The following is a 12001-nucleotide window of genomic DNA, read 5'->3' on the forward strand; positions in this document are numbered from 1 at the left end:
TGCAGATAACTAGCCAGAACCCATCCCTTTATTTCAGCCCATTCCTTTATTTCCCGTAAGGAATACTTTTAGTTAATCTATAATCTATAGAAACAATGCTTATCACTGGCTTGTTGTTAATAAATGCATGGGTAAAATCTCTGTTCAAGACTCTCAGCTCTGAAGGCTGTGAGATCCCCGATTTCCCACTCCACACCTCTATATTTCTGTGTGTGTGTCTTTAATTCCTCTAGCGCCGCTGGGTTAGGTCTCCGTGACTGAGCTGGTCTCAGCACTGCGATGTCCCTTTTACCAGATAAGGTAACATTCCAGACTTGAAGGATTAAGTTGTGCACAGATGTGATCACATGTTTCTTTCTGCAGGGAGCTCCTGAGATGTGGGGATCAGGCCATCCCTAATCCACTCAGCTTTTGCTCTTCCCAGTCTTTTTTTTTTTTTTTTTTTTTTTTTTTGGAGAAAGGTCTTGCTCTGTTGCCCAGGCTGGAGTGTAGCGGTGGGATCATGGTGCACTGCAATCTCAACTTCCTGGGCTCAGATAATCCTCCCACTTCAGCCTTCCAAGTAGCTGGGACAACAGGCTTGTGCCACCATGCCTGGCTAATTTAAAACAATTTTTTGGTAGAGATGGAGTCTCCCTGTTGCCCAGTTCAAACTGGGTCTTGAACCTAGGCTCAAGTGATCCTCCTGCTTTGGCCTCCCAAAGTACTTTCATTATAGGCATGAGCCACTGAGCCTGGCATCCGTGTCTTTTTTTTTTTTTTTCAGCTGGCGTCTTGCTCTGTTGCCCAGGCTGGAGTGCAGTGGTGCATTCTTGGCTCACTGCAACCTCCGCCTCCCAGGTTCAAGCAATTCTCCTGTGTCAGCTTCCCGAGTAGCTGGGACTACAGGTGTGTACCACCACACCCAGCTAATTTTTGTATTTTTAGTAGAGACGGGGTTTCACCATGTTGGCCAGGATGGTCTAGATCTCCTGACCCCGCGATCCACCTGCCTTGGCCTCCCAAAGTGCTGGGATTACAGGCGTGAGCTACCGCGCCTGGCCTATTCCTAATAGTCAAAAGCTGGAAACAATCCAGATGTGTTTTTTTCTTTTTTTTTTATTGAGATGGAGTCTTGCTCTGTTGCCCAGACTGGAGTGCAGTGCTGCAATCTCGGCTCACTGCAACCTCTGCCTCCCAGGTTCAAGCGATTCTCCTGCCTCAGCTTCCCGAGTAGCTGGGACTACAGGTGCGCACCACCACACCCAGCTAATTTTTGTATTTTTAGTAGAGACGGGGTTTCACCATGTTGGCCAGGATGGTCTAGATCTCCTGACCGCGTGATCCATCTGCCTCGGCCTCCCAAAGTTCTGGGATTACAGACATGAGCTACCGCTCCTGGCCTATTCCTAATAGTCAAAAGCTGGAAACAATCCAGGTGTCTTTTTTTTTTCGTTATTGAGACGGAGTCTTGCTCTGTTGCCCAGACTGGAGTGCAGTGGTGCAATCTCGGCTCACTGCAACCTCTGCCTCCCGATTCAAATGATTCTCCTGCCTCAGCCTCCTGAGTAGCTGGGACTATAGGCACGTGCCACCATGCCCAGCTAATTTTTGTATTTTTAGTAGAGACTGGGTTTCACTGTGTTAGCCAGGATGGTCTCGATCTCCTGACCTCATAATCCATCTGCCTTGGCCTCCCAACATGCTGGGATTACAGGCATGAGCCACCACGCCTGGCCTCAGATGTCTTTCAATAGGTGAGGGTTAAGCAAACTGTGGCAACCTCACATCATGGAATACTACTTTGCAATAAAAAAGAACAAAGCAAACTACTGACACACACAACAACCTGGATGAAGCTCCTGAGAATTACGCCAAGTGAAAAAATTAATTCCAAAGGTTACATGTTGTATGATTCCACTTTGTCATTCTTCAACTGACAAAATTATGGAAATGAAGAAAGGATTAGTGGTTTCCAGGGGTAAAGAAGGGGTGGAGATGGGAGGGAAGTGGCTGTGGCTATAAAAGAGCAACAGGAGTGATCCATGTGGTGACTGAATTTTTCAGTATCTTGACTATGCCAATGTCAACATTCTGGTTGTAATGTACTATAGTTTTGGTGATATTACCATTGCTGAAGACTGGGTAAAGGGTACATGGGATTTCTCTGTAAGAGTTTTTGTACCTGCAGGTGAATCTACAATTATCTCAAACAAAACTTAAAAAAAATTATGGAAGAAAATGGAAAGAGTTGGCAGAAACTACAAATAAATATGTATTCACCTCACCCCACGATGACACTTGGCTCTTATCCACCTTAGAAAAGTATGAAGATTTATTTGGAGGGAGAAGTCTCCTGTGCACTCTAAAGTCTCTAAGGCTGCCTCAAAGTTGAGTCTCATCAGTATCACTAAGATCTCTTGCAGAAGGGAGCACTATTAAAGCTTGTGAATTACTTTCTTACTTCTCCAAAACAGTTAGAGATAGATTTGCTTTATTTTTAAGATATTCTGTGCTAACTAGTAGCCCCTGGGCCAAAGAATTCATGACGCATTTCAAAGACCAGGCAAATTTCACAAATGGTCATAATGGATGAGGCTAGTATTTCCAATGTGGAAGCACACAGGACAGACTGGAGTACCTGAAACATGCCCACGGGCACGTGGGTCTGGGACTGGAAGGGAGGAGCATGGGCTCTGACTCTTAGGAGGAAAGTCATTCAAGATCTCAATCGCCACAAGGCGGACTGTGGCTTGCCTTTCAAGACAGTTGAACATGCTTTTTCAACAGATGCACACAAAGGGTTGGACAAAACTGCTTGGAGACTTTCTCACTTGGTTTGTGGTTACCTCAAAAACTGACAAGGGATAGTTATGTAAAATGTGAACACTGGGGAAGGATGGAGAGGGACATATGGACACTCATTGTACTATTTTTGTAACTTCTATAAGTAGTTCAAATAAAACATTTTTTAAAAGCTAACTTTGTCTTGGTTGGAAATTTGCTCAAGTCACTTTTGTTTAGTCAGTGAACAGGTAAGTATTTTCCCCCTTGAAAGTCAGTAAACATCTCGGTGAGGAGAGACCCTCGGACGCCCAGCCATGCTTAGGGTCTGGCCCTTCCACACCCACCTCATTGTCACTGCTGGATGTCTCAGTGTCATAGGAGGGCATGGGCTGACGCACAGGTGGCTCTTTCTCCTCAGGGTCATTGTGTTCACACTTTGCCAGGGACAAGGGTTCCTAATGTGTCTAGAGTTTGTTCCTTCCGGTGGGTTCATGGTCTCGCTGGCTTGCCGTGGACCTTCGTGGTCAGTGTTACACAGTGTTACAGCTTTTTTTTTTTTTTTTGAGACGGAGTCTCACTCTGTTGCCCAGGCTGGAGTGCAGTGGCATGATCTCAGCTCACTGCAAGCTCTGCCTCCCGGGTTCACGCCATTCTCCTGCCTTAGCCTCCCCAGTAGCTAGGACTACAGGCGCCTGCCACCATGCCCGGCTAACTTTTTGTGTTTTTTAGTAGAGATGGGGTTTCACCGTGTTAGCTAGGATGTTCTTGATCTCCTGACCTTGTGATCTGCCCGCCTCGGCCTCCCAAAGTGCTGGGATTACAGGCGTAAGCCACCGCGCCTGGCCAGTGTTACAGCTCTTAAAGGTGGCACCCAAAGAGTGAGCAGAAAGAACAAAGTTTCTACAGCCTGTATGAGGACCCAAGCAGGTTGCCGCTGCTGGCTTTGGGGGAGGGGATGGGGGAGTGGCCAGCTTTTATTCCCTTATTTGTCCCCGCCCATGTCCTGCTGATTGGCCCATTTTACAGAGTGCTGATTGGTCCATTTTACAGAGCACTGATTGGTGCATTTTACAAACCTCTAGCTAGCTACAGAGTGCTGATTGGTGCATTTTACAGAGTGCTGATTGGTGCATTTTACAAACCACTAGCTAGCTACAGAGCGCTGATTGGTGCGTTTTTACAGAGCACTGATTGGTGCATTTTACAAACCTCTTGTAAGACAGAAAAGTTCTCCAAGTCCACACTCAACCCAGGAAGTCCAGCTGGCTTCACTAAGGGGGCAGAAGGTCACATGAATTTTATTCAGCCAAGAAATAACATCTAAGAACAGTGAGATCCATGCTTTATCCTTTATACAGCTTTATGCTTGCAAATAAAGGGCACGATTATGGGAATTTTTCTCAGTTGAAAAGGTAGTTTTCAGTATTTCTAGCTGCTGAAGAATTCTCATGCTGACCCCATTTCTTATCCTACACCACAGAACTACTGATGCTCAGAGAATGATGAGAAGCATATTTACAACAGTAATTTCTCTTATAATTCTTACCCTTAGGATCCCCCTTATTAATTCATGGCACAGTCAGCATGTGTTGGGGCTCTTCTGGATGAAAAGAATGGGTTTTAATGACAAACCCAAAAGTTCCTCAAGACAATTTGTATTTTTAGTAATTAAAACAGAAATCAGGAAGCCAGGCACGGTGGTTCAAGCCAGGCGCAGTGGCTCATGCCTGCAATCCAAGCACTTTGGGAGGCTGAGGTGGGTGGATCGTCTGAGGTCAGGAGCTCAAGACCAGCCTGGCCAATGTAGTGAAACCCCATCTCTACTAAAAATACAAAAAATTAGCTGGGCATGGTGGCGGGTGCCTGTAATCCTAGCTACTAGGGAGGCTGGGGCAAGAGAATCGCTCGAACCTGGGAGGCGGAGGTTGCAGTGAGCTGAGATAGAGCCATTGCACTCCAGTGTGAGCAATAAGAGCAAAACTCCATCTCAAAAAAAAAAAAAAGAAAAGAAAAGAAAACAGGAATTTGATATTTCTGGTGTTTAATGATTGACAACAAGCAATATGTGTTCTGGCCATTACATTGAGACTCTAATTTGGCAACTCCAGACACTCCTGTTCCTTGACCCTGGTGATCTCTACTGATACTAGAAGGAGAGGGGAGTGCCATTAAGTAATGAGTCATAGCTACCATCACAATAAGCTCTGCCAGGTTTTCTCCAAGTTGGCATAGTCACTAAGAAAGGCAACAAAAAGATACTTGGTCTGGTTGCTGCTCAACTAATACCAAGAACAGCTCACATTTATACAGCACTTACTGTGTGCCAGATACTAAGAATCATATATGAAATCATTTAATCTTCATAACAATCTTAAAATTAGGTACTAGTATCATTCTCATTTTAGAGGTAAGAAAATTAAGTACAAAGAAGTTAAGGTTAGCTAATAAATGAAGGAGGTAGGATTTGAACATAAGCAGTTCCTGACTCATGGCTGAGTCATGATTTAAAAATACAAAACCTTTATGCCTTAATTTTTCCTTCTGCCAAGAAAAATAAAAATATAACTAATAAATGATTAAACACATTTTATTTAAGGCTCTCCTTATGGAGCTGTACAAATTAAAAGTTCTAAGGCTGAATTTAAAGTAATAGTTACAAAGTATCTGCTTTCTTCTTTCTTAGAGTCTATCTCTCAATTTGAGGACCATTCTTTCCTTCCTTAGATAAACCATCTAAAATTAATACAACTCTTCTATTTACAGGTGACATGATTTTATTTGTAGAAAATTCTAAGGAATACACACACACACAGAAAAAAAAATCATTAAAGCCAATACATGAATTCAGAAGGTTGCAGGACATAAAATCAACATATAAAGATCAATTGTATTTCCATACACTAATAAAGAACAATCCAAAAATAAAATTAAGAGAACAATTCCATATACAATAGCATAAAAAAGAACAAAATAGTCAGGAATAGGCCAGGCACAGTGGCTCAAGCCTATAATCCCAGCACTTTGGGAGGCTGAAGTGAGAGGATGGTTTCAGCCCAGGAGTTTGAGACCAGCCTGGGCAACATAATTAGACCCTGTCTCTACAAAAAGTAAAAATAAAAAAAGTTTGTCTGGGCATGGTGCCTCATGCCTGTAATCTTAGCACTGTGGGAGGCCGAGGTGGGCAGATCACTTGAATCAGGAGTTCAAAACCAGCCTGGCCAACATGGTGAAGCCCTGTATCTACTAAAAATACAAAATAATTTGCCAGGCATGGTGGTGGGCACCTGTAATCCCAGCTATTTGGGAGGCTGAGGCAGGAGAATCACTTGAACCCAGAAGGCAGAGGTTGCAGTGAGCTGAGATCACACCACTGCACCCTACCCTGGGCGACAGAGTGGGACTCCATCTCAGAAAAACAAAATAAAATAAAAAATAAGAAAAGTTAGCCAGGCGTGGCACACACTTGTGGTCCCAGCTGCTCAGGAGGCTGAGGCAGAGGATCACTTGAGCCTAGCAGGGTGAGGTTGCAGTGAGCCATGTTTGTGCCATTGCACTCCAGCTTGGGTGACAGAGTGAGACTCTGTTTCAAAAAAATAAAATAAATAAATGCAAAACTTGTATGCAAAGAGCTACAAAATATTTTAAGAAATTAAAGAAGATCCAAATTAATGGAAAGATATCCCATGTTCATACATCAGAAGAAATAGTATTTTATAGATGGCAATACTCTCCAAATTGATTCAATGCAATACATATAAGAATCTCAGCTAGCTTAGAAGTGGATAAACTGGGCCGGGTGCAATGGCTTATGCCTGTAATCCCAGCACTTTGGGAGGCTGGGGCGAGTGGATCACAAGGTCAGGAGTTTGAGACCAGCCTGGCCAATATGGTGAAAACCCATCTCTACTAAAGATACAAAAAATTAGCTGGGCATGCAAAAGAACAAAGCTGGAGGCATCACGCTACCTGACTTCAAACTATACTACAGGGCTACAGTAACCAAAACAGCATGGTACTGGTACCAAAACAGAGATATAGATCAATGGAACAGAACAGAGCCCTCAGAAATAATGCCACATGTCTACAACCATCTGATCTTTGACAAACCTGACGAAAACAAGAAATGGGGAAAGGATTCCCTATTTAATAAATGGTGCTGGGAAAACTGGCTAGCCATATGTAGAAAGCTGAAACTGGATCCCTTCCTTACACCTTACACAAAAATTAATTCAAGATGGATTAAAGACTTAAATGTTAGATCTAAAACCATGAAAACCCTAGAAGAAAGCCTAGGCAATATCATTCAGGACATTGGCATGGGCAAGGACTTCATGACTAAAACACCAAAAGCAATGGCAACAAAAGCCAAAATTGACAAATGGGATCTAATTAAACTAAAGAGCTTCTGCACAGCAAAAGAAACTACCATCAGAGTGAACAGGCAACCTACAGAATGGGAGAAAATTTTTACAATCTACCCATCTGACAAAGGGCTAATATCTACAAATAACTTAAACAAATTTATGAGAAAAAATCAAACAACCCCATCAAAAAGTGGGTGAAGGATATGAACAGACACTTCTCAAAAGAAGACATTTATGCAGCCAACAGACACATGAAAAAATGCTCATCGTCACTGGCCATCAGAGAAATGCAAATCAAAACCACAATGAGATACCATCTCACACCAGTTAGATGGCGATCATTAAAAAGTCAGGAAACAACAGGTGCTGGAGAGGATGTGGAGAAATAGGAACACTTTTACACTGTTGGTGGGACTGTAAACTAGTTCAACCATTGTGGAAGACAGTGTGGCGATTCCTCAAGGATCTAGAACTAGAAATACCATTTGAGCCAGCCATCCCATTACTGGGTATATACCCAAAGGATTATAAATCATGCTGCTATAAAGACACATGCACATGTATGTTTATTGTGGCACTATTCACAATAGCAAAGACCTGGAACCAACCCAAATGTCCATCAATGATAGACTGGATTAAGAAAATGTGGCACATATACACCATGGAATACTATGCAGTCATAAAAAAGGATGAGTTCATGTCCTTTGTAGGGACATGGATGAAGCTGGAAATCATCATTCTGAGCAAACTATTGCAAGGACAGAAAACCAAACACTGCATGTTCTCACTCATAGGTGGGAATTGAACAATGAGAACACTTGGACACAGGGTGGGGAACATCATACACCGGGGCCTGTCGTGGGGTGGGGGGAGGGGGGAGGGATAGCATTAGTAGATATACCTAATGCTAAATGACGAGTTAATGGGTGCAGCACACCAACATGGCACATGTATACATATGTAACAAATCTGCACGTTGTGCACATGTACCCTACAGCTTAAAGTATAAAAATAAATAAATAAATAAATAAAATAATAAGGAAAAAAAATCAGCTGGGCATGGTGTCGTGTGCCTATAATCCCAGCTATTTGGGAGGCTGAGGCAGGGGAATCGCTTGAACCTGGGAGGCGGAGGTTGCAGTGAGCTGAGATCATGCCATTGCACTCCAGCCTAGGCGACAGGGCAAGACTCCATCTCAAAAAAACAAAAAAAGGATAAGCTGATCTTAAAATTCATATGAAAACTCAAGAGGCAAAGAATAGCCAAACCAGTCTTGAAAAAGAACATTTCCCAGTTTCATAGCTAACTATGAAGATACAGTATTCAAGACAGTCAGAGTGGTACTAGTACAATGGCAGACAGATCTACATCAATGGAGTAAAACTAAGAGTCCAGAAATAAGCCATTACATTCATTGTTAGTTGATTTTTGACCAGTATGCCAATACAACTTGATAGAGAAAGAATAATCTTCTCAACAAATGCTGATGGGAGAACTAGCTGTCTCCAATCAAATATATGAAACTGGACCCCTACATTACACCATATACAAAATCAACTTAAAACAAATCAGGGACCTAAATAAGAGTGAAAACGATACAACTCTTAAAAGAAAAGAAAGCATAAATCTGTAAAAATCATATATTTTATAAGGGCCTTATATCCAGAATACATAAGAAATTCTTACAACTCAACAATAAAGAGACAATGCAATTAAGAAGTGGGCACAATGGATCTTAATGGACATTTCTCCAAAGAAGATCTACAAATGGCCTATGAGCACTACTTAAAATCATTAATCATTAGGGAAATCCCTATTGAATGCACAATGAGGTATCACTTCATATATACTTGGAAGGCTATAATAAAAAAGATGGACGGCCGGGCACGGTGGCTCACGCCTGTAATCCCAGCACTTTGGGAGGCCGAGGTGGGCGGATCACGAGTTCAAGAGATCGAGACCATCCTGGCTAACACGGTGGAGCCCCGTCTCTACTAAAGATACAAAAAATTAGCCGGGCGTGGTGGCGGGCGCCTGTAGTCCCAGCCACCCGGGAGGCTGAGGCAGGAGAATGGCATGAACCCGGGAGGCAGAGCTTGCAGTGAGCCGAGATCGCGCCACTGTACTCCAGCCTGGGCGACAGAGCGAGACTCCGTCTCAAAAAAACAAAAACAAACAAACAAAAAAAGATGGACAGTAAAAAGTGCTGGTAAGAAGGCAGAAAAACCGGCACTCTCATACACTGGCTGGTAGGAATGTAAAATGGTAAAGCCACATTGACAAACAGCTTGGGAGTTCCTCAAAAATTAAACATAGAATTACCACATGACCAGCAATGCCACTCCTAAGTATATACACAAGAGAACTGAGAACACGTTGTCAAAAACTTCTAGGCACATCTTCACAGCAGCATTATTCATAATGGCCAAAAAGTGGAAACAACCCAAATGTCCATCCACTGACGAATGGATCAACAAAATGTGAATATTTGTACAGTAAAATATTACTCGGCCCTATAAAGGAATGAAATTCTGATACAAGTTGTAACAGGGATGAACCCTAAAAACATTATGCTAAGTCAAAGAAAGCAGAAAAAAATTCACAGGGAAAGAAGGATTAGTGGTTATCTGGGACTGAAGGTGGAGGGCAATGGTGAGTGACTACTAATGGCTATGGGGTTTCTTTTTGGGATGACTGCTATGGTTTGAATGCTTGTCCCCTCCAAAACTCAGGTTGAAACTTAATCCTTAATGTAACAATACTAAGAGGTGGGGCCTTTAAGCGGTAACTGGGTCTTGAGGGCTTTGCTCTCATGAATGAATTAATCCATTCAGGCGTTAATGGATGGATGGGTTATCGTGGGAATGGGTTGGTTATCACGAGACCGGGTCTGTTATAAAAGCTAGGTTGGCTCTCTCTTGGCATGAGATGTCTTCTGCCACGTTCAGACACAACACGTGGCCCTCACCAGAAGTCGACCAGTTGTGGCTCCTTGACCTGGGATTTCCCAGAATCTCAAACTGTAACAAATACATTTATTTTTCAAACAAATTATCCAGTCTCAGATATTCAGTTATAGCAACAGAAAATATACTAAGGCACCTTGGATTCAGTCACACCTGCAGCCACTCAGTTCCTCCTCTTTCATAAGCTAAGACTAAGACAATGATAAAATGTTCTGAAATTATACAGTGGTGATCAATGCACAACTTGGTGAATATACCGAAAACTTTAAATGTGGAATCATTCACTTTAAAAAGGTGAACATTAGCCTACGTGAATTGTATCGCAATGAAGTAGTCATTAAATGTAACACTTTCTACTTAGAAAAAGCTAGCACACAAAAGTCCTGAAAAGTTTTAGCTTGCAGAACAATCTAAAGGTACTCAATAACAAAACAGTGATTCTTACAGAACAACATTTGTAAGTTTATGGCTTTCAAATTCTTTACTATTATTCCCCTTTTCATATTACTTTTATATAAACTGGAAAATAAATGCAGAAAGAACACTGGTAAGCAATTTCTCCTGTTCTGAAGACACATAGGTGGATTTGGATACACTATCACTCTATCGGTTTCCTTTAAATGTAATAAGTATTACAAACAGTAAATGCCTGTTATAAATGTAAAGAGCTGATGCTGCTCCCTGTTAAAGATGTTCCTTTTTTTACCAGAAACCAAACAGATGGCTAACCTGCTACAAACCGATAAGCAGCTATATCTGATAAGCATAGACACTTCTGTTACCACATTAAATCCTATGTTAAGACCAGTCTAGGAACAACAGAGGCTTTGTTAGAAGCGATGAAAGAGATACTCTTTTCACAACTTGGTTACTGCACAAAAATTTATTGGTGAAATTCTCTGTGGTGCTGTTCATGATAAATAAGTCCTTTATAGTCTACTGAAGCCTTACAACTGTCACATATACCTGAACATACCAATACACAAAAGTCCTTCCAAAAGTGCAGATGTGAAAAATCCATCAAACATTTGTGGGGCTTGATGATCTATCCAGTAACTGCTATCAGTAAAGCTAATACTCATCAGTGCCCTGCAGCTTTCCTTCCCACTGCCTCACTGTTCCTGTGGGTCAGTGATATGTCCAGTGGCTCTCCTTTACCTCATCTCCGGGAGTGAAAGGCTTCTCTACAATTCCTGGGAGATTGGCCTGGGTGGGATTGGGGGTGGGGGCACACCACAGTGTATCAAGTTTAAGCTGAACTACATATCTGCTTAAAACAATGCTAATGCCCAATCTTCTCTAGGTTTGTCTGGGTACAGATACCACATCTGCCTTATCTTTCTTCCTGAGCAGTTTCATTCACACTGCTTGAAAGCCCCACTTAACATAAATGTGATCAATCCTGAAATCCTAAAATAAAGCATGGGCAGGAGCAGTGGCTCACACCTGTAATCCCAGCACTTTGGGAGGCTGAGGTGGGCGGATCACTTGAGGTCAGGAGTTCGAGACCAGCCTGGCCAACATGGTGAAACCCCATCTCTGCTTAAAAATACAAAAATTAGCCAGGCAGGGGGGCAGGTGTCTGTAATTCCAGCTACTTGAGAGGCTGACATGAGAATCGCTTGAACCTGGGGGGCGGGAGTTGCAGTGAGCCAAGATTACACCACTGCACTCCAGCCTGCGCAAAAGAGTGAAATTTGTCTCAAACAAAAACAAAAACAAAAAAACTATAAAGGCTGTTAATATATATTAAAAAAATATAGCTGACCCTTGAACAATGCAGGGGTTAGGGGTACCAAGCTCCCACATAGTTGAAAATCTATGTGTAACTTTTGATTTCCCAAAAACTTAATAGCCTATTGTTGACCAGAAGCCTCACTGATAACATAAACAGTTGATTAACA

General features: G+C 42.4%; 1 annotated feature.

Annotated features, from left to right (window-relative positions):
* Positions 11062-11356: a silencer, noted in NCBI's record as "tiled region #12242; K562 Repressive DNase matched - State 5:Enh". NCBI's record gives its function as "represses a minimal TATA promoter and a strong SV40 promoter by Sharpr-MPRA in K562 cells {active_cell/tissue: K562}" and the evidence as "EXISTENCE:reporter gene assay evidence [ECO:0000049][PMID:27701403]".

This window comes from Homo sapiens, chromosome 9, assembly GCF_000001405.40.
Source record: "Homo sapiens chromosome 9, GRCh38.p14 Primary Assembly".
In the NCBI taxonomy this organism is placed as follows: domain Eukaryota; kingdom Metazoa; phylum Chordata; class Mammalia; order Primates; family Hominidae; genus Homo; species Homo sapiens.